Source organism: Homo sapiens, chromosome X (assembly GCF_000001405.40).
Source record: "Homo sapiens chromosome X, GRCh38.p14 Primary Assembly".
In the NCBI taxonomy this organism is placed as follows: domain Eukaryota; kingdom Metazoa; phylum Chordata; class Mammalia; order Primates; family Hominidae; genus Homo; species Homo sapiens.
The window spans coordinates 36,940,477-36,964,557 of NC_000023.11; the positions used below are offsets into that span (position 1 = coordinate 36,940,477).

The following is a 24,081-nucleotide window of genomic DNA, read 5'->3' on the forward strand; positions in this document are numbered from 1 at the left end:
GTAGAAATCACCAAATCTCAAGAAGCGATTCATAAAGAGCTTACTCGGCAGACTTTCAAGTCAGAAACTGCTGTTGTCTATAGCCCTTCTATGCCACATTTACTTTTTTTATTGACAATGAAACTGTGAAAGGGCTATGTGGACCCTGGCTGCATCTTTTCTCAGCCTGCCTTGTGGGTGAGTTTCCCTGTACATACGTCTGTTATTGTACTTGGAAAGTGGCACCATGACTCTGTTTATGAAGACTGGTCCCAAAACTGGATAAAGTCCTAGAAGATTGTGTTAGGCATTCCCCCTTAGTTGCTGGATCATTTGTTGGTGAGGGAGTGTGTATAGGGCAACAACTAATAAGGTCTGGGAACTCAGGGAAGTGGCTGTTAATCAACTTGTACTCCAACACCTAGATATAATCATATAGTTTGCCCATCTCTTAGGTACTTGAAATCCAGTATTCTAGAGGGACAACTTTGATAACAAAAAGTAGCTGTGCCCATTAATAAAGTTTTGGTCCAGGTGAAGAGCACATACACTCATTAGAATACAGAGGATCAGCCCGGCAACTTGCAGGCTGTGTTTAGCACTCTCCTTATTTTCTCAAAGCCTTTGCTCTTTAGTGACATAGGGATGAAGATACCTACCTTGCAAGGGTGTGATGAGAATCAAACAGGACAATGCTGTTTAATTGGATGAAACAGAAATTATTCTGCTCAGCATTGTGGTTACAATGTAGAAGTTGTGCCGTAATTGCTGGAATATAATGATACACTAGAGAATATAATGGTACACTAAGCAAGATCTCATCCAATTTCCTCATTCTACAAATAAGAACCTCTGGGTGCAGGGATGTTTATAATTTCCAGTGGTTGCCCAATAGATTAATCACAAATTCAAAAGAGGAAAGCAGGTTTCCTGTCTCTCAGTGGAACATCCTTAACCCTACATTATACTATATCGCTTTTATCCTTTTACAAAGAATTTACCATAACTTTGTCCCTGTGGTACATTAACAAGTTATGCACTCATGTTAATAACTTTTTGCTGTAGAACACATAGTAGTGAATAGGGAAAAGTAAACAAAATGAAGTTTATGCATAAAGGATAAGACCTATAGGGATGTGCTTAATGAAAGGACTTGGGGTGTGAGATAGGAAATTCCAATTAAAATAGCACACACTTAAATACAGGCTATAACCCATTCTTTCAAGAATGTTCAGTCAGAATGGTGTTATTTTCTATTTCTTTTCCTACTAAATATTTGCCAATTATTTTTTGATGAGCTTGAGTGTCCAAAAGCTCAGGTAAGGGAATTTATTTTGACAGAACACAGATGATCCTCCCTGGGAATTGCTGCCACTAAGTCTTCTGTGAATCTGCATTCCTCTATCTGGCAGCTCCAAGAAGATATTTGTAAATAGCAACGTTAAGTAAATAGCCACAGCATGAAAAGTCCTTCCACCAGATTAGTACCATTCCTGACTGCTGGGGACGGCAAACTCGCATTTAAATAAAACTCCCAAATATGTCACACTGCTCCTCGCCTTTCATATATTTATCCTAAGTCAAAACAATGTCTTGTCTTTGGAGAACACAAAGGGAAACAAGCATCAGGCCTGGACTTTAGTCCCCTGCCCCACATCTTCTTACCTTCCCATCTATAAATGTGCAGTTTCATTGACGAAAGTTGTGTTTCTGCATATTTGTGTGTGATTTTTTTCCCCTATGCACAAACTGTCAATAGTTACTAAGGCAGGAGAACATGTTCTATCTTTCTGGAAGCAGAAAAATTAGTTATAATCTGTCAGATAACAACTGTTTATCAAGGAATTCTTCCAATTCTTCCAGGAGCACTAACCTTTGTTTAATATGTCGTTGATTTTCTAAACTGTTAAGTATGCCTTATAATGGTGAAAACCTACATGATACCACTCACTACATCAGCTAATATCTAGTTTATTAGAACATTAACATTTACCACTGACAATTAACTGACAAATTGCATGTGTATGTGATTTATAATGAGAGATTTGAAGGTGAACACAAGTTAAGTATTTTTAAATGGCATGTGGGAATGCTGTAGTGAAGCCTAGACCCTTCTTGTCCTTCCCTTTTCTTCTTAGAAGAAACAGACCAGTACTGTGCAAGTATGAAGCCCCTCCCCTCTGAGCTTGGTGAACTAATCTGCAATTAGCCATTGGAAAGCCTGTGCATAATTAATTAAACATTACTATTGAAGAAAGATGTGTACATGTGTATGCAGATGGAGAACTTGAGAATAAGATAAGGCAAAGTGTTCTAAACAATGAAAAAACATTGTGTTGCTCCATTGTTGGTGCAAGGTAAGATTCATGTTTATTCCTTTACAGGGACTATATTAGTCTGGTAGGGCTGCCAAAACAAAAATGCCACAGACTGGGAGATTTAAACAACAGAAATATATTTTCTCACAATTCTGGGACTAGAAGTCCAAGGTCAATGTGTCAGCAGGTTTTGTGTCTGGTGAGGCCTTTCCTCCTGGCTTGTAAACTGCCATCTTTTCACTATGTTCTTACATGGCCTTAGATCTTGCAAGTTTTTAGCCTTTATTTTACTTTTGAAATTTTTTGTTTTTATTAAATTATTGTACATACATTTGAGATGTGCCAATAGATATAATATGCACCATTTAAATCTTCAAGTTACAAATAATAAAATGATCTTTAAGATTGTCAGGTTTTTGAAATATCGTAAGAATCTATAAATGTACAATCATTTATTTATTTAAATAATTTTCTTCATTCAACATACATTTAATATCTCCAACTATTGACCTACTATTATTTCTATCATAGAGCTGTTGCTATATACTATTCAAAAAAACTAAAAATGTTTTTATAAATTGAACATGGAAAAAGACTACTGAATGTGGCAAAGCCACAATAATTTATATAGATGTATATGTACTTGCTTATGCATCAAAAATTTTTAGTGCATATGTCCCTCAAAGGCAAATATTTTAGTAGGCCGTCCCATCAATTGACTGGAACTTAAAAGTGTTTGATGATAACAATGCTTTCTTTTTGACAAAAATAAGTTGCATATTACTAAATTCAGATTAATATTTTACAAAGTACTTCGCAATTTTTTCACTATACGTTATTTCCAAAGTTAAAAACATAAAATAACTCTCTCCAATGAAATACTCAGATGAAATGAGGATCACATCCTTTTCCTATTTTACTTTTCTTATCTTTGTATTCTGTTTGTGGCTATATATGCAGATATCCTTGAAATTAGAAATATAGCCAGAGGGTTTTCCTCCTAATAAAATTGCATTTTAAATGAATATTAATAGCGTAACTTTTTATTTTTAACCTCTTTTATTACAAACATTTTAAATATATGCCAAAGTAGATATAGTAACATAATGAACATTCGTATTTCCATCAAATAGCTTCAACAAATGGCCAATATCGCTTTATCTATTTCTCCAACTATGTAATTATTTTGAAACAAACCCCAGACATCTTAAAACTTCTGTGAATACTTTACAGTGTATCTTTAAGAGATTACTATTTTTAAAAACATAACCACAATATCATTATAATCTCAAATAACAATAATCACTGTATACCATCAAATATTTAGCCACTAATCAAATTTCCAGTTTGGTTGGATTACTTTTATTTAATATCTCTACAATATTTTTTGTAGGTTTCCTCTCTCACTTTCATTCTTCAATTTATTTATTGAAGAACCTGGACCATTTTTCCTGGAACATTTTCTATACATTAGATTTTGCTGATTGTATTCCTATGTTTCTTTGTCTCCTGTGCTTACCATAAAATAATAGACTAAGCGATTAGGTTTTGTATTATTTTTGGCAAAAATGCACATAGTTGAGTTTTATTTTCTTTCTTGCACCATATCTGAAGGCATGTAAAAAGGGGTTGCTTTTCTTTTTGTGATTAATCAATAGGTTTAGGTGTTGCCACCTTCACCCATTCACTAAAAAGTTTCCCATGTGGTTTTCACTTACTGCTATCAGCAGCCATTCATATTTATTACAAAGATCCATTAATTACAAAGATCCAAAAATCTCTATTGTAATGTGGCAATATTCCAATCTAATTCTTAACCTTTAATACATTATTTAATAAATATAAATAAAGTATAATTATTTTCATTTCTTCTTTCAGGAAATTCCAATTTAAGGACTTTGCATTATTCTTCATAGCACTTATTTAAAATTATTGTAAGAGAGGTCCCTTTTTGTCTCTGTGTGAGACTGGTTGGTTGTGTACTTATAGAGGAGAGTTTTACTTCCATTTGAATGATAAGCTCTTGAGGGCAGGCAACAACACATCTTATATTTATTTTTATCTAGCACCTACCATGATGTAGTTTACATTGCAGACACTCAAGAAAGTCGTGGTAATTTGGTGGGTTAGAATGCTTTGGCACCTGCCAACCTCATCTTTGGGCCATTTCCTTTACCCTACCCCTCCTCCAAGTATGGCCCTGTTCATCATTTTTACCACATCATGTGGGATAGTGAAGTGTAAAGTCATTGATTGATAGTTGGTGTTTATGCATTAGGTTCTACCTCACTCTAGAAAGTAACTGTTGATATTTTAAATTCTGAAACAGAAAGATCCACTTGTGCTGGTGTCAACTATTCAATTAAAGTCAATCCATTTCTAACAAAGTTTTTAAAAAGGCAGAGATAAATAATTTACTGATGTTAGTTACTACTAACTACTAATGTCAGTTACTGCACAGTAGTATTTTATTCATTTATATAAAGGATCTTTAAAATATCTTTCAATATAATATAATATATAATATATATTAATATAATAATAAATTAATCTGAAAATGATTTTCAGGAAAGGAATACGTTGAGTCATTGTGTGATTAGTATCTCTACAACGTTTACATAGGGGTTTACACAAATAGGCAGTAATATTTATTACTGCTAAAACGAAATCGAAGACATATTACTGTAATACTGTAAGGAGTTCATGGTCCAGTCTGGGAGACAGAATCTATGGTGATAAACAAATGATAATACATATATAATGGTGTAGTCAGGATTCAGAGAACACTATTAGACCTCACTGAGATTGTTATAATTATTATAAGTCATTTGAGACTTTACCTCAGGAGAGATCAGTAAAAAATTTCTCCTCATCTCAGTTTCTAGAAGTGGTTATTATATTCCATGGATATGTAATGGCAGAATTTAGATCAAATTTTTATCAAAAGTTCAGATAGGACAAAAATGCCACATATGGATAGAAATTTCCAGTTTTCCAATGATAGATGACATCCATTTTTAAGTCAGTTTTAGTATCAGTAAATCAGTTTGAAAGGTTATATAAAAACATATGTCATAAACTTCTTCTTTACATCCCTTACTCAGAATCTGCCTAAATTAATAACAGAATTTTCTAGGCTTTGATGACAGGTTATTCTCAGGAAACTGCCACCACAGCACCTAACAATTCGATGTCATGATGCTTACTCCAGATTGAGTGCTACAGATTTGTTATATTCCTATTTGAGTTCAAAACTGAATAAGAAATGGCAGTTGCATTTTAATTTGAGGTAACATTTAGAAATGATTTAAGAAATGTGATTAATGACAACACAGATTTATTAGATTCAATTATTAGGAGGCTTGTTTTTACCTTTTTCATGTTTCAAGCAGGCACTAAATAATTCTGTCAACCTGTTATAAGACATTTATAAATGGCATTGCATAGAATTATTTACATGTCTCTTGAACATGATAAAGTACTTATCATAATAAATTATTATGGAAAAGGCAGTGCTATTAATCACTTGTTAAATGTTAATAACATTTACCAACATTTATTTCTTTTAAAGCAGCAAGAAAAAATAGGTATTTCTTTTTTTTCTGTAATATAATTTTTATTGAGACTGAATAAAGCATTTGAAACACTGAATGAGTCGTTTCATATACTAAATTTGGAGTTTTTCATTTGAGATAACAAAGCAGTGGGAAATCAATGCTATGACAACTAACATTTGACTATAAAACTTAAAGTATAATAATAATAAAAAAATTAAAACTCTGTATTCCAAAAAAAAAAATTGCTTCTTAGTTTTACTTCTATTTTAGACATTATCTACTGAATCTCTTCAATAGTCAATTTGGATGTTACTCCCTTTTACATTTTTAATAAAACCATGAGCATTTATCTTTTTTGCATTTTCAATATAATTTAATAACAACTTTTGGTTATATTGATATTTATTGTTTAATTGTACTTTTAAACATTGTTTTGCTGCCAAGTAAAGTAATAATCACATTAAAAAAAAAAGAAAGTTCCTATAGGTACTTTTTCATGTTTAGCATGTTATTCAATATTGTTTACAAGTATAAATTTACAACAAATGGAAATTTAAAAATAGGTATTTCATTTTGAAAAATTATCAACTGAAATAAGGATTTTATTATTTCCAGATTCCAGATTCTCAACTCTAGACTTAAATAGTTAAATCTTTTACCTCTTAAAAATTCTTGTATTTATTGGCTTTAATGTAGATGAAAATAACGTATTTGAGTTTTACAAAAATTTAGCTTCTAGAGTGCAAAAGCTTTTGAGAACGTAAGTGGGGTAGAAAAATTAAAACTAGATTGTATATTATAAAGCACTTTCTGTACTACTTAACCAGGAAAGCATCTAAATATTTATTCACTTTCCAATGTAGTACATTTATGCCATCTTCTGGCAATGGTTCCTCAAGCTGGGAATATTCAAATTAACACGCATCAAAATAACTTAATATTTCCTTACAGAGTCACTAGCTGACATTCCTTAAATAGTATGAAGTCCTGTAAAATTGGAACAAGGCCACAATAGTGGCTATCTTTAGTAAACAGAGAAAAGGTGATATTACAAAATCACTGTTACGTTAGTTGGCTAGTCCCAATATATCAGAACAGACGCTAAACATTCACAAAACCTGTAAAAGTTAAACATTTGGAAAACACCAAGTGTTCATGAAGAGATGTAGCAATGACAGCTCTATTTCACACAGTGCTGATAGAAATATAACTTGGAAAACTGAATGTGCCTCTCCAAAATTTCGTACGTTAAAACCCTAATCCCCAATATTATGGCATTTAGAGATGGTTCCTTTGGGTGGTAATGAGATAAGTATTTTTTTCCTTTTTTTCTTTCTAATTTTTGTGGGTACATAATAGATGTATACATTTATGGAGTACATGGGATATTTTGATGCAGGTATGCAAGGCATGATAATCACACCATTGAGAATGGGTTATCTATCCCCTCATGCATTTATCCTTTGAGTTACAAACAATCCAATTACACTCTTTTAGTTATTTTTAAAAGTATAATTAAGTTATTATTGACTATAGTCACCCTATTGTGCTATCAAATAGCAGATCTTATTTATTCTTTCTATTTTTTTTTTTGTACCCATTAACCATCCCCACCTCCCCACCCAGTTCCCCACCACCCTTCCCAGCCTCTGGTAACCAACCTTCTACTCTCTATGTCCATGAGATCAACTGTTTTGATTTTTAGATCCCACAAATAAGAGAGGACATGTAATATTTGTCTTTCTGTGCCTGGCTTTTTTCACTTAACATAGTGATCTCCAGTTCCATCCATGTTGTTGCAAACGACTGGATCTCATTTTTTTATGCCTGAACATGAATGTGGAAAAAACAGCCTTTCCTATAAGATCTGGAACACTACAAGGATGTCCATGTCATCACTGTTATTCAACATAGTAGTGGAAGTCCTAGCTAGAGATTAGCATATTTATTTTTAAAACATGAGTTAACCTGCTTCCTCTCTCTCTCTGTTCTCTGCCATGTAAGGACATAAGAAGATACAATGTAAAGATGTATAGAAGCTACTGTTTCAGTCTGTAAACCAGGAAGAGGGCCCTCACCAGAACTCAAACATGCCGACAACCTGATCTCAGACTTCCAGCCTCCAGAACTGTGAAAAATAAATTTCTGTCGTTTAAGCTATGCAATTTATGGTATTTTTGATAGAGTGGCCCAAACTAAGTTAGTATTGTCCAATAAAAGTAAATAAGATCATACTTTATGACTCACAACTTCACTCCTTAGTATATAACAAAGCAATACTAACTGCATTTATTTCTTTTCTTGGAAAGATAACTAGGTCACTTTATATCCCATCTAACAATATTTTATAAAATCTGGTTTAATGTCTGTAATCTTTTTCAATAGCTTGGTATGTAAACGAGGTCACTTCTTTTTCATCTCTTCAAATTTGATTGCTTAGAACTTCATGCATCCTGATTAGCAGTATGTCCACTTTCCCCTTTTTAAGGTCTTTTAGCTTTCATTAACCAAGAAAAGGAGAGTTTACTCGACACAAAAAAATCAGTTCTTCCCCCAAAACCTAGCCACACAAAGAGCTAGAAAGTCCAGTTCTAACACCATTGTGTTGTTGCCACATGGAGTCATAGTTGAACTCTCTGGTTCTGTGAGATCTAATGTTACTTGTTCCAAACTGAGGTGAGTTCTTTGGTGGTTTGGATACTTTATGAGACACAAGGATACCCTGGTCTAGGGCTTCAACTTTACCATTGTGTATTTATGTGTCTGTGTGTTTAACTTCCCACTCAAACTATCAGCCCTTGTTCTTCCAAGTGAAATGAGACCTCCTGGGAGTACGGGCATATTTCCAAAAACTTTGTGACATATGCCAATGATATTTCCTTTGAACAAGAGTCCACTGATGAAAGTGCCATAATAGCTTTCATGAATAAATGACAATCTACTTTTTAAAATTTTAGAACAGCTTTAGGTTTCAGCAAAATTGAGCAGAAAAAAATAGAGTTCCATATACTCCCTGCCCCTACATTTGCATAGCCTACTCCATTTTCAACATCCCCCACCAGAGAGGTACATTTACTATAACTGATAAACCCACACTGACACATTATTATCACCTAAAGTCCATAGTTTACATGAGAGTTCACTCTTGGTGTTTGATATACTTTGGATGTTTGTTCCCTCCAAATCTCATATTGAAATGTAATCTCCAAAGTTGTAGGTGGGGTCTGGTGGGAGGTGTTTGAGTCATGAGAGCGGGTCTCTCATGAATGGCTTGGTATCCGCCCCCGCCCCCCCCCCGCCCCCCCGCAGTAATGAATTCGCAAGAGATCTGGTTGTTTAAAACAGCTTTAGCACCTCTGCACTTCTCTCACTCCCTCTCTCACCATATGATGCGCTGGCTCCCTTTCACCTTCCACCATGACTGTAAGCTTTCTGAATCCCTCACCAGAAGCAGATGCCCATACTATGTTTTGGGTAGAGCATAAAAACCATAGGCCAAATAAACCTCTTTTCTTTATAAATTACTCAGTCTCAGGTATCCATTATAGCAACAAAAACAGACTAATACAGTGTTGTACATTTTATGGGTTTGGGAAAATGTTTAATGAATGACATGTATCCATCATTATAGTACCATACAAAGTAGTTTCACTGCCCTAAAAAAACTCCTCTGTGTTCCACCTATTCATCCCTCCCCAATCCCAACCCCTGGCAGCCAATGAAACTTTTACAATCTCCATAGTTTTGCCTTTTCCAGAATGTCATAAAGTTGGAATCATTCAGTATGTAGCTTCTCAGAATTGGCTTTCACTTAGTAATATGCATTTAAGTTTCCTCTGTGTATTTTCATGGCTTGATAGCGCATTTTTTGATAGCACTGGATAATAAATAGTCCATTGTCAGGATGTACCAATTCATTTAACCATCCACCTTCTGAAGGATATCTTGGTTGCTTCCAAGTTTTGCCAATTATGAATAAAGCTATAAACATTCAACTGCCAGTTTTTGTGTGGACATAAGTTTTCAACTTATTTGTGTAAACACCAAGGAGAGTCATTGCTGGATCATATGGTAGGAGTATGTTTAGTTTTGTAAGGAACTGCCGAAGTGTCTTCAAAATTGGATGTACTACTTTGCATTACCATCAGCAAAAAAACAAGAGCTCTTGTTGCTGCACATCCTTGCCAGTATTTGTTGTTGTCATTGTTCTGGGTTTGGTTTAATCTGAAAGAGAATGGAACCTGGGCCCCAGTCCAGAAAGCACAGAATCTTAGCCACTAGGCCACAGGGCGAGGTGCTCTTTTGTCAATGCTGCAGGGAATAGAAGCAGGCAGTTTAAGCATTTTAAAGGATTTTAACTTGTTTCAGGGGTGAGCTCAATTGGAAGGTTGTTTAGCTAATTACCTAGATGTTACCATTTCAAAGACAGGATCAGATTTACATCTCCAAAGGACTGTGAAGTCCAGCAGGACATTTAAAGGGTATTCTCTGATATTGGGTCAATAAATCATCCATGTCATTTATTAGTTATGGTTTAGAAGAAAAACTTTGTTGGATCTGTATTTTATAATCTCAGTAGTTTTCTTCTCATTCTGTAGTTGTTCCATTTGTTTTCTCTCCTCCAAATTTAAAGACGTTTACCCTCTTTTGAGAGAAAAAAAAGTTTGCATTGTGGAATTTCAAAAATCTCTGCCGAAGAGCTTATGGGAGCTGAGGGAACAAGCAGAAAGGGATGAATTCAAATGACAGGGGTACAAGGAGGAGGAGCAGTTGGAGGCAAAATGGAGAAAGTCTCCGAAGTCTTTTTTCATTTGAAATAACTTTAGACAATCTTGATTTCCTCTTGCAAAGAAACTTCTTTATCAAAAACTCTTTTAGAAGCTTCTAAGTAACATTGAAAAATTGCTCTCCCAGTTATTTTGGTTTTATTTTAAAGCCAGCTTTATTTTTATTATTAGAGCATGCAGATAAACTATTTTAAATGTTTCAAAGATATCCTATTTAGGCTGTTGTAGTTAGGGGTCTTTGTGCTTTAAAACCATTTTTCTAGATATTGACAGGAGGTGGCACCATAAGTATTGTACATGAATTCACCTGAAGTTTCTAAAGTTGGATGTCTCCTTTAGAAGTACAAATGCAAATTAGATTTTCCCTTTGAATGACCAAAAAGATCTAGTGGGAGGAATTTTGGTTACTCCAGATGAAAGTGCAGATTTGACCACTGAGCCAAGCTTCAGAATCTGGCCAGTTTTAAAGATTACAAATTTTTCATTTAAGCCACAAAAATTTCATTTTCTCTCTTCAAAGAAAACCTGTTTTCTCCTTGACCAAATTTCAAGTGAGTGAAAAGGTTTCAAACCCTAAGAAATAAGACAAACAAAACCTTTACTGCAGAGAAAAATGAAAACGACAAATATGCAGTCCACAGAATCCATAGAATTAAAGCTCTGCTTTAAAGTAGGAGTTTTCTCAAAGGACTCCTCTTGAGGAAACTCCTACCTTAAAATCAGAGCATCAATTCCAGCTCCATTGAGCATGGAATTGGGTTGCTTGAATAAAGTTTCAATCTCAAACTGAAATCAGGGCAACTGAAAACCTGAGAGGAGCTTTGACAGAGACCCCCATCAGCTGCAACAAGGTCGGGTGAATGAAAAGCATTCCCTCTTGGCATAATTAATTTAGGGAGTCCTGAAATTTTATTTTCTTTTACATGTACAAATATTAGAAGTTTCTTTCTATAAAACCAAGTATTATTAAATCAAATTTAGCCTAAAGCAGCCTCCTTACATATTTTAAGGTCAGCCTAAAAGTTTCTCTGTACATCATGAAGTATAACTTAAATGGGTTGTACATAGACTGTAGCCTACTCTTGTGCCAATCACTGAGTTTTGGCCAATCAACTGTGGCCAACTGTTCAAATCATATTCAAATAAGGCAAACCCTGAGCTGTAACCAATACCAAAATCAAATTTCTACTTCAAAAATAAGTCTTTTTTGACCTCTAACTTTGGGATGCTACAGAGGGCCCTTGAAGCATCCAAAAGAGAGGTAAACAGGATTATTTGACATGTTAAGTTACATGCAAAGCATTGCCAAATAAGAAATAATGTTTAACTTTCTTCAGCCTATATTTTAATGAATGTTATTAATATATGTTCAAAAATTGTATGGAATTCCTAAAATTCTAATATGTCTGAGTATATGCTATCAATCATAATTATGGGTAAGTTACTGTAGACCACAGAAATAACCACATTTCCTTGTCAATTGTGTCTTTAACTGTGACTATTTAAAGCCATTTCCATAGTTAACTGCTTGATTCTGATGCAGTTTCTGAAAACTTCACAAGCATGCAACATCCAAGAATACGATGTCTTTAAGGAGGTTCAGGAAAGGATGGAAAGGACCCTGAGAAGCACTCCTTAGTACAGGTTTCTAATCACTTTAGAATCATATCATTTGGACTGGGTAAGAATTCCCAGAACTTTAATGAAGAGACTGACTAGTATATAAAACTGCTCACCCAAGCAGAACAAAAATTAATATCAAGAAAATATTTTGCAGGTTTCCATGCTAAATCTGCCAGTATTGAAAATGTTTAGATATACAATTTGAATGAACTCCATAGTCTAAGTAAAATTACCTATGATAACCCATCAGTTATCAGTGCTATGCACCTAAATTGGAGAAACAACTGTTATTCAAGAAGACACAAGTCTATTGTTAAGCATAGACTCATGGAAAACCAGGATGGCTATCTTGTCCTTCTTAAGTCCTTAAAGCTATGGTTATTAAAAGTTCTAAATCCAAATTAAATATATATATTGGTATGATGACTTCTAAGTTGCTAAAATAGTTTATGACCAATGTTTGGTTTGTCAAACCCATATTCTTGGGAAGACAAATAAAAATTTCAGGTACATTCTACTATCTGATGGGCTATTTAAACACTTCTAAAGGGATTTCATTCAATTGTCATTTTCAGTGCATGTTTTCTGGTTGTACAAAACGTTCTCATGCAAGAAGGCTAATGTTATAACAGTAGCTCATTATACCAAAGTGTCTCTTCACCAGGTAAAGAAAGATTTTAATGGTTCACTGACTGAGAGCAATTAACCTCTTCACAATATAGAACATGAAGATTAGACCTTCTAAGAATATCATTGAAAGACTACCCTTGCCATCCACACTGCAGCAAAACTTCTGGACCTTGAACCTTGGGTTCATAATCTCACGACTTAGAGGGGTCCCTCCTTACTCTTGGAACTATAAACACATTGGAAACCTTAAGGTAAAGCTAACCAGGGAAGCTTCTCCTCAGAAGAAGGTGGCATCCTTGATGTAGACAGCTTTATCCCAACATCACAGATAAAGACTTCTCTACTATCATGAGACTCTTATCTTTGAATATTTTTCCCTTGCTTATGCCTCTATGAATGATAGAAGTGAAAGGGGGGGTCTATTGTGTGCACTCATGGGGTATAGTTTATTTGTGAAAAATTTTGCAGCCAGCCTTATATATGGATAACCTTATGCCTTGATAGATGGAAGATGAAGGCCTAATGTACTTGAGAAATGTTAATGGTACATACCTTGCCTCACAGTCAGTCAGAAACAGAAAACTGGTCCACTCCTCTTAGCCAATATCATAGGCTAAAAAGAACACTGCCAGGAGGTCTTCACTCTTCTGAAGGGCATTGTTTGTTAAGTCCTTTTTCCCATGGTTTAGAGTAAATGAGGTAATGATTAGAAATTTATTCCTCATGATATGCTTTATAGCAGATTCTACTGTAGAGGCTCTGGTTACATAACAGACTGTAAAGTCTCCTGTGAAAGTTATGCTGAATAATAGAATTGCTCTGGATTAGTAACCGGCTAAACAGATGTATCTATGCAATGCTGGCAATTCTTGTTGCCCATGAAGAAATACATCACATCCAGTATTACAGAGATTCAGTTATATGGTATTAATGAAGAGACTGCTTAAAGTGGGTAGACTCTTCATCTAGCTCATTCTTTGGTCTATTTGATTTTAGTTGGTTTGGTTTATGGGGAACCTGGCTAAGGAGCAGACTCCAAACTCTTGGTGTTATTCTCCTGATAGTCTTAATAGTAGTCTCCCTGGTACACTGTATTCTCTCAAAAGTTTTAAATACTTCCATGCAGCCATCTCTAAAATGTCAGATGGTCTCTCTTTAACTGGAGCGACAAGAGCTGAAAGAAATATGTGACCAAAAAGTCACTGTAACCCACGAATGACATGCTGAGACCAGAAATCCAAAATGATGGTAACTGAGAGTGGCACTAAGGCCCTAAGTTTTGGTCACACTCTCACCATGAGAATCTGACCAAAAGGGGGGAATTTTAAAACAAATTATGGGAGCCCATTGTTTGCCCCAACAGACCAGACCAAACCAAAATGGAGTCATTTATGCTAAATGTGACATAATCAAACTAAGACTTTAAGGAAACACAGAAGATTTTTAGAACAGACCATGTTTTGTTTCTCTCCTGCAGCATAAGAAGGTATTCTCTACTCCAAACCTTACAAAAATAATAATAGTAATAACGTTAAGACCTTGTTTCCACCTTACAAAACCCGCAGTTCTGCTATTTCCCAGTGGGTTTCAAAACCAAGTAAGTACATTTACTATGGTGATAGTGACATCAATGACTAAAGTTTTGGTAAATCTCTCACAATTGAGAGGATGAAAAAATGGGGGAATTGTTAAATCAAGTGCCTAAAGCTACCTCCTTATATATTCTAAGTTCAGCCTAAAGGTTTCTCTGTACATCATGAACTATAACCTAAATGGAGTTATATATAGACTGTAGCCTGCTCTTGTGCCAATCACTGAGTTTTGGCCAATCAACGATGGCCAACTGTTCAAACCATGTTCAAACAAGGCAAATGCCAAACTGTAACTAACCCCGCTGTTTCTGTACCTCACTTCCATTTTCTGTATGTCTTTTCCTTTTTCTGTCCATAAATCTTCTTCTACCATGTGGCTGCACTGGAGTCTCTGAGTCTTCTCTGGCTCAGGAGGCTGCCTGATTTGTAAATCATTCTTTGCTCAATTAAACTCTTAAATTTAATTCAGCTACAGTTTTTCTTTTAACAGTACATATGGTCAAGTAATTTTCTACAAGGCCACTAAGAAGACACAAGGTGGAAAGAGTAGTCTCTCCAATAAATGGTGCTGGGAAAACTGGATATCCACACAAAGAACAATGAAACTGGTCTCTTATCCTACACCATACACAAAAATCAACTCAAAATGGATTAAATACCTAAATATAAGACCTGAAATGTAAAACTCTTTAAAATAAAGAGGATGGGGAAGCTATTTGATATTGGCCTTGGTAGTGACTTTTTGGATATCACACCAAAAGCACAGGCAAAAGCAAAAATAAATAACTAGGACTATATCAAACTAAAAAGCTTCTCCACAGCAAATAAAACCATTAACAAATTGAAAAGGCAGCTAATAGATTGAGAGAAATTATTTGTGAACCATATATCTAATAAGGGGTTAATATCCCAAATATATAAGCAACTAAAAGGAAACTAAAACTATTTTCCTCAAAATATACTTTTTTGGCATATTTTGAAATTCAGGCAAATGTGCCTATTCAGAGGACCTGCAGACAGGAATAGCTCTGAAAAGCTGTCATTTGTGGAGTATATATGCATTGCTACATTAGCAAAATAAATAGCCAGGCTTTCTTTGAGGCCCTACCCCTTATCCAGATCTGGAAATAATTAACTCAACCACAAGCTGCTACCTATTCTTTCTGAGAGCTGTTGCCTTTGAGATTTCATCTACATGACAAGATTGCCTTTACCCCTTGCCTTTATTTCTCTCTCCCTCCCATAATCTTGAAGCATGGTCTTGCCATGCTTTAAGCCCCTATTCTTCTGTTACCTCAAGATGGTATAAAAATGTCAACTATCTGGCCCTGTCTTTGAGATTTTCATATTTTGTATGAGTCCCATGCACACATGTGCATATTAATAAATTTTCTATGTCTTTTCTCCTATTAATCTGCTTTTTGTCAGTTAATTTTCAGTGAACCTTCAGAGGTCAAAGGAGACATTTTTCCTTTTAGCCCCTTCAGAACTCACAAAATTATGTAGCAAAATCATAATATAATTAAAGAATGGGCAAAGGACCTGAATAGACTTTTTCCAAAGAAGGCATAAAAATGGCCAATAACTGTATGAAAAGATGCTCAACTTTATTAATCATCAGATAAATGTGAATCAAAAGCACAATTAAATATCATCTCATACCTGTTAGGATGGATATTATCAAAAAGTCAAGAGATAACAAGGGTTTTCAAGGGTGTGGAGAAGAGGGAACTGTTGTACACTCTTGATGAGAATCTAAATTGGTATCGCTATTATGGAAAACAGTATGGAGGTTCCTCAAAAACTTAAAAATATAACTACCTTAAGATCCAGAAATCCCTCTTCTGTGTGTATACTCAAAAGGTGTCTGTGCTCCCATGATGAGCATTATTCACAGTAGCCAAGATATGGGAACAACCTGAGTGTAGTGTGAGTGGGCAGTTGAATGGATAAATTGTGGTAGATATATAATGGAATATTAACCTTAAAATAAAAGATACTGCCATTTGTAACAACATGGATAAAGATGGAAGACATTTTGCCAAGTGAAATAAGACAGACACAAGAAGAAAAATACTGCCTGATCTTGTATGTGGAATCTTTTTTTAAAAAAAAAAAAAGAGTCAAATACTTAGCGCAAGGAGGAAATGGGGATGTGTAGGTCAAAGGTACAACTTACAGTTACTTGGGTTAAATAAATAAGTCTGAGATCTAATGCACAGCAGGAGGACTATACTTAGCAATATTGTATACTGAAATTTTACTAAGAGTTTATTTTAGATGCTCTTATCACAAACAAAGGTAAATATGGATGGATGGTGATGGATACGTAAAATTGTTTACCTGTGGTAATTATTTCACTATGGATATGTACATCAAAACATCTTGCTGCTCACCTAAAATTAATACAATGAAAACGGAAATGCTCCTGACGGGGCAAGGAGGAGAAAGCTAGGTGACTTGGAGCCAGCGCTGCTGGGTACCTAGCGTCTTCAAGGAACTGCCGCGCGCCGCCAGTCGGGGGCGCGGGCTGGCACCGGGCTCCCTCCGCGGGCCAGGGCCGCGGTAGGGGCGGGATCCGCGCGAGCCTCGGGCCCTGGGAGCAGGAGCCGAAGTCACCGGGTGCTGGCCCTCCGCCCCTCCCTGTTCGGCACCACCTCCCGCAGCCTGGGGAGGGGCTGGGACGGAGCCAGCCCTGTCGAGCGGGGCGGAGCGGGCGCGGGGCCGGCGGCGAAGGTCAGGGGTGGAATCGACGTCGCTGCGGCTGCGGACGACCCCCACCCGGCCGGCGGCCTCCGCAGACCCACCTTGGTCGCGCGGCAGGGGGCGCGCAGAGCCCCGAGGGAGCGAGTCCCAGTGCGTGGGGGCTCGGTGGCTTCTCCCCTCGGGAGGTCGGACTCCTGGCTCCCCGGACCCGCCTGGCGTCCTCGGGCGGCAGCGGCATCCAGGAATGGCTTCGGCGGGCAGCGGCATGGAGGAGGTGCGCGTGTCGGTGTTGACTCCCCTTGAAGCTGGTCGGGCTGTTGTGCATCTTCCTGACGCTGTATCTGGATCTGGGGGCGGTGCTGAGCCCGGCCTGGATCACAGCTGACCACCAGTACTACCTGTCGTTGTGGGAGTCCTGCCGGAAACCCGCCAGCTTGGACATCTGGCACTGCGAGTCCACGCTCAGCAGCGGTGAGGGCCCGGCGCACCGCGACCCCTGCCTCCCGCCCCGGACTGCCTTGCGCCCTACTGCCAGGAGAGTCACCACCTGTCCCCACCTCTCCGCGTCCCCTGCCCTGGCCCGTCCCACCGCGTCCAGGCCCTTCTCGGATCCTGAGGCTCCAACCACCTCCCTGGCGTCCACCCCTCTTCCCTCCCCATCCCTGGCCGCCAAACCTAAAGCGACAGCCCACGTCCTCTCCCTCCCCTGTGGCCATTCCTCCTATTCTGCAGTAACACGTAACGCTATTTTGGGTATTTGTTATCATTTGAGGCGAGAGCCATGTGGCTGTGTAAAAAATGCGACGCCTTCCACACCCCAGTTAAAAAAGAAGCAGGCAAAAACGCCCCAACTCCACCGAGATGCTGCGGGGGTTCTCTGTTGGTCTTCCCCACTCTTTTTTCCCTCCTCTCTCGAGGACGAATTTGCCTAGGTTTACCTCTCAGTGTTCACATTTCTGCCTGTTCCACTCCATCTTATCTGGATTTTCACCAATTAACTCAGATTGGGATTTTATTTCCTTAAACTTTTGGGAGATAGGAAGAGTTGGGAGAGGGAGGGGCTTACTTTCCTTTGTGGTCTTTGGTTGTGAGTTGCCCTCCCATCTCCCCAGTTCAAAGTACCTCTCCTCTCCAGCCAGACCTTTATTTATTTCTCCTTTGCAAGAGCTGCTCACAGATGGCCTAGGACTTTATTGCTTATTCGGCCAGTACTAAAAGCTGCCAATGGATCCCCACTGTGGGAGATCCCAGGACAGAGTTGTCTGACATTGGAGTTTGGAGTGGAAACAAAATGGTATAAAGACATTATTGGAATGATTGTTCAGTTTAAATAGGGATAGTTATTGTATAATTAGATAATATTGTATTAATGTTAAATTTCCTGATTTGCTCATTGACAGTGGTTAAATAAAATAATGTGTTTTCTGGCCAGGCGCGGTGGCTCATGCCTGTAATCCCAGCACTTTGGGAGGCCGAGGCAGGCAGATCACCTGAGGTCAGGAGATCAAGGCCAGCCTGGCCAACATGGCGAAACCCTGTCTCTACTAAAAATACAAAAAATAGCCAGGTGTGGTGTTGGGCGCCTGTAATCCCAGCTACTCAGGAGGCTGAGGCTGGGAGAATCCCTTGAACCCGGGAGGCGGAGTTTGCAGTGAGCTGAGATCACCATTGCACTCCAGCCTGGGCAACAGAGCCAGACTCTGTCTCAAAAAAAAAATATATATATATATATTTATATATATATTTATATATATTTTTATATATATTTATATATATTTATATATATATTTATAAGTATATATATATTCCTTTTTTTAGTCAATACACACTGAAATATTTAGGGGTACAGGGTCACAACATATGCAGCTTACTCTCAAATGGTAGAAAATATGTATATATGGTAGAGAGAAAAAATGATAAATGAGACAATGTTACAAATTGATGAATATGGGTAAAGGACTTTTCTTGTACTATTTTTGTACTATTCTTGCAAATTTTCTGTAAGTTTTAAAGCATTTAAATTTTTAATTAAAAATATTTTTCCCTGGTATAAAGTACTTTTAGCACAATGAATTCAAACAAGTGCTTGCCTTTTCTGTAAAGGAGAATGATAAAGTAGGATGAAAAGTTATTAAGTGTGTGAAAACCGTTAGATTATCTAAAATTTATATTTTTTGAAAACATACAGTGTGAAAAAACAGATTTTATGTTTTAAACATATGAGCCATATTGGACTGTAAACATTCCATGATATTTGATATACATAGTGAACGCTTTCAATAACATTTAGATGACATTTGCAAATAATACTTTATTCTATTTAGAGTATATAATAGCTCATGATTGGTCTAGGAAGATGAATACTTTAAGACAAAGCCAGTATATTAAAACACACACATATATGCATGTTCAACCACACACTCACAGAAAATTGTGTGAAGCCCTCCCTATTAGAGTGAGACACAAGATGTATTTGTCTTCTAGCATATGTGACATCACTTGTGTAGCATCTAGTGTTATTTTTGTGCTGCCCTGGACTGGATCTTTATATAATGGCTACCTCTGGTAATGCAATTTCCAGCTGTGGAGCAGTTCTATGGAATTTTCACCCCCACCTTGTGCTTTCCTATCCATGCTCTCTTTGAATAGCATGTAGTCTAGAGTAAAGAATGGTGAGCCAGGTGCAGTGGCTCATGCCTGTAATCCCAACACTTTGGGAGGCCAAGGCATGTGGATCACCTGAGGACAGGAGTTCGGGACCAGCCTGGCCAACATGGTGAAACCCTGTCTCTACTAAAAATACAAAAATTAGCCGGGCGTGGTGGCAGGTGCCTGTAATCCCAGCTACTCGGGAGGCTGAGGCAGGAGAATCACTTGAACCCGGGAGGCGGAGGTTGCAGTGAGCCAAGATCATGCCATCGCACTCCAGCCTGCAGGACAAGAGCGAGACTTTGTCTCAAAAAAAAAAAAAAAAATGGTGAAGAAGAGTATTCTCTCAGAGTGGGAAGGGAAGTCCAGATATGTCTTTTCTTTTGTATGAGAAGTAAAACCTTTTAAAATACTATCAGCATCTATTAACTTCCTCCATACTTTGTCTCTCATTAGGCAAAGCAATGATGTTATCTATAACCTTCTAGAACAAAACTGTGTGAATCAAATCCTTCCCCCTGGCCAAGGAGATAAATCCTAGCTCAGCAGCGTCCTATGGAAATGGGGCTCTCAAAGACAGTACAGCACACAGGAAAGTGAGCCTAGCTCTCCAACCAACATAATATTATTAGTTAAAAGCATATTTCAGAGTTCCTAACAGGGTAATTTTTGTTTGTTTGTTTTTGTTTAAAATGCCCATGCGTATTTTATTAATAAAAACTAACAGTGCCAAGTTAAACAAGTCAAACAATTAAAGTTTCTTTATATTCCATAAAATATTACAGAAAAGTTTATTTGTGTTTCAATAAAAAGACTTTCGCTTTAGAACAGGCAGCTAATAGCAACTGTGCAGTTAATGGGTTTTGTGAATAAATTTTAAAAGAGACTACTGCCTGTCCTTAAATTCCTTGTTCTTTTTATTAAAAAAAAAAGAACTATTAAAAATGATTGACAAATTTTGAGTTAAAAAATTGTTAAAACATTCTTTATATTTAATTTCAATTTTATAATAGATTACAGGAAGATGCTTATGAAACAAATACATTTGTTTCAGTATATGTCTTTAAATGATAGACTGATAAGTATGTAAACAACTATATAATAAAAGGTTTCCAAACGCTGCCTGTAAGAAATCAGGCAAATTTTACCATAAGCAATAAACCATTCCAAGCCTTCCAAACAGTCTCCATAGCCACACCAGCGTGGCAGTAAGCTTTAACCAAACAAAAACAAACAAACAAACAAAAGCACTTTGCAATTTGTTGCTGCAAAATAGGGAGAGAAAAGAGTGTATAAACTTGATGGAATCACGACAGTCAATATAATTTAAGAGAAAATAAAGTTAATAAGGTTGATGGTGTTTATTGTTTAAAATGTCGAATTCTGCTGTTTGCTTGGGGCTCTGGACACCGTACCACTGAACAAATGGAAAACTCCACAGAGTCTCGCTATCTGCCAGTGGGGGCGCCGTCCAAACTCACGGCAAATAAACGGCATCAGGTGCTCACCATCCACAACAAGAGGGCGTTTTATTTTCATGCATGTGGATGAAATACAATTTCTTCAGCAAACTCAGCAAAAACTGTTCAGGGGCAAAAATGAACTCTGCACTTAAAAGAAAAATAAAAAATGAAAGCACAAAATACTAAAAAGTAAATAAACGCTCTGCATCAGCACACTGGTATCAAAACACACATCCACAGCACGTCCTAATCCTACAGGAAACAATCCTTGCTTATCAGAGGTGCATATCTAAATTAAATAGCTTACCAATATCTTCTTGGGAGTAGGACAAAAGGAAACAGAAAACCTACATTAAAAAAAAAGTTTCTTTTCCCTAAATGTTTTCCTGAAGCTGAATTTGAAGTGGGGAGGACGTCAGTCGTCCTTGTCATTCTCGTTGAAGTCATCATCCTCCTCGTCGTCCTCCCCGACGTAGGACACCGGGGTCTCCACCCTGGAGCCGCTGTACTGAGACCTCTTGGAGCTTGTGGCCAGCATCCCATCTGCACCGTTGGTCAGGTCACTGGCAGAGAACCTCGTGCCTTTAGACGTGGAACCTGCCGCCGTGATGAACACGCCTCCAACAGTTCCCTGAGCCATTTCTGTCACATACGGCTCCAGCGCCTTTGGGACTAGACTTCTGGCCATTTTAAGGTCTTCAGCAGAGCAGCTCCCAGACTCCAGCCAGCAAGCCATGCCCATCCGCTTCAGCACTTCTATGTCACCTTGGATTTCAAATGTGTTGTCAAAATTAAACAGATACTCGAGTTTGTCGTTGGAGATGCTGCAGTCGATGACGGTCTTCTTGCTGGTGTTGACGACGATGAAGGGCAGGTGGATGACCGAGTTGGGTGGTGGCGGCCGGCTGGCCTGCTGCTCTGCGTGCCGGTTTCTCTGCACCAGGTTCTTGAAGGCAATTTGCTGTAGAATAAGTTCTCGAAGTTGAGACTGTTTCTGTTTTATTCTTTCAAGTCTCCTCTGTCTTTCCACCTCTAAGTTCTGACATTCCTGAGCCGAGTTGGTGGGCAGACCAATCCACTTAATCTCCTTCTTCTCCTTGGAGATGATGTTCATGGCCATCAGCACGTTTAAGGCATCATAGACGCGCCGTCTTATGTTCTTCTGGTCATAAGCTGACTCGTTTGGTAAGATGTGGTTGTCGGCAGCACTGAACTCTGCTACCAGCTCGTCCGCCACTTCGTTGTAGGAAGTGGTCCCTTTCCTCTGCACCTTCTCGCAGACCTTCATGGAGAAATGCCGCAGGCCCTTGCAATTCTCTCCTTTCCTGTTGCGCTTCCCTGCAGACCGAGGTGAGGAGTCAGAAGGCTGGTTCTGAGAGGCAAAGTGAGTGCTGGGGGTGTGTGAGCTTCCTACCACCAGGGTGTTTGACGCTGCAGGTCTCTGAGGCATACCAATCACCACTTGCTGGGCAATGCTGACATTGGACTGTCCAAAGGTTTTTGGCAAGAGCTGTTTCCCGAGCGGGTTGACGGTGGAGGGGTGAACGGCCACGAGGGACACCACGCCTTTTCCGGAACTAAGGTTCTGGTCTATGAAGACCTTGAGTTCTCCGTTGGCTTCAATTAGACCGGCATCTTTTGCCATGTTACCAGATCCGGAAAATCAATGCTACAAATGTTCACCTTCCCAGAGAAGAAAAATGATTTTTCTGGGCGCAGCCCCGGGGTCCTGGCGCAACGTGCAGGCTCGCGGCGTCCACCCCGGACACTGGCGGCGCCCGCCCGGCAGACCGGTAACTCTGACAGGTGGGCTTCCGGGGTCCTCGCCGCGCGCCTGTCACTAGGCCTCGGGCCGCCTCCGCACTAGGCGCCTCCCGCGCGCGCCGGAACCGGGTCCCCGCGGGCCGCCGTGGGGCGGCCTCCCCTCCCCCGCCCTGCGCGCTCCAGCCGACCCTGGCCCCGGCCCCACCTCCGCCGCGGGCCGCGGGCGCTGCTGTCGACCGGGAGGGCCGGGCCCGGGACCCCCGCCCCACGATTACCTGGGGAGCCCCCACCAGCGCCGAGCGCGCGGGGTCCCCGAGGCACAGGGGCGCGCTGGGCGCGGGAAAGCGCGGGTCGGGGCCGCGCGGCGCCTACAAGCGGCCGGGGCACGGGATAGGGTGGCCAGGGGTCCCGCCCGCGCCCCAGGCCCCCGCCCGCGGCTCCCGCGGCATCCCCTGCCCGCCCGCACCTGGCTACCCGATCCGGCCGCGTGGGTGGGGGCGCGGAGAGGGCGCGGTGCGGGGGCCGGGCCGGGCGGTCCAGGCCGCGGCGGGGTCCCTGCCCTGGGCCGAGCAGCGCCGGGGACCACAGGTTAATTTTTAATTGCTAGCTGTGTACGTAATTCAGGGATGCAGATTTCAAATATACGCCAAAAAGGTAGGCAAATCTGTGTGAATTTTTCTTTTAATTCCCAATATACTTACTTTTTTGTTATTTTCAAAAGCTTGTCTTGCTTCTTTGAATGTGCAGACGACTTCTGTGTACTCGCCCTCAATCTTGGCTAGCATTTTAATACTGAATTGGCTTTTTTCCTGTGAAGAAAACTAAAAAGATATATAATTATAAGCAAAAAAATAATTTTTTTATTGAGACAGTATCTCACTTAGTCACTCAGGCTGGAGTGCAGTGGTGATTATGTCTCACTGCAACCTTGACCTCCCGGGTTCAGGTAAGCCTCCCATCTCAGCCTCCCGAGTAGCTGGGACCACAGTTGTGCACCACCACCACACCTGACT

The 24,081-nt window shown here is 39.0% G+C and overlaps 1 pseudogene, besides 3 other annotated features; it reads right to left on the reverse strand.

The window, feature by feature from the left end:
* Window positions 9,809-10,676: an enhancer, noted in NCBI's record as "OCT4-NANOG hESC enhancer chrX:36968358-36969225 (GRCh37/hg19 assembly coordinates)". NCBI's record gives its function as "activates a minimal SCP1, AML or CMV promoter by ChIP-STARR-seq in naive and primed H9 embryonic stem cells {active_cell/tissue: H9 hESC(naive and primed)}" and the evidence as "EXISTENCE:reporter gene assay evidence [ECO:0000049][PMID:30033119]".
* TFDP1P2 (TFDP1 pseudogene 2) lies at window positions 20,525-23,082 on the reverse strand (annotated as a pseudogene).
* Window positions 22,088-22,588: an enhancer, noted in NCBI's record as "H3K4me1 hESC enhancer chrX:36980637-36981137 (GRCh37/hg19 assembly coordinates)". NCBI's record gives its function as "activates a minimal SCP1, AML or CMV promoter by ChIP-STARR-seq in naive H9 embryonic stem cells {active_cell/tissue: H9 hESC(naive)}" and the evidence as "EXISTENCE:reporter gene assay evidence [ECO:0000049][PMID:30033119]".
* Window positions 22,783-23,283: an enhancer, noted in NCBI's record as "H3K27ac hESC enhancer chrX:36981332-36981832 (GRCh37/hg19 assembly coordinates)". NCBI's record gives its function as "activates a minimal SCP1, AML or CMV promoter by ChIP-STARR-seq in naive H9 embryonic stem cells {active_cell/tissue: H9 hESC(naive)}" and the evidence as "EXISTENCE:reporter gene assay evidence [ECO:0000049][PMID:30033119]".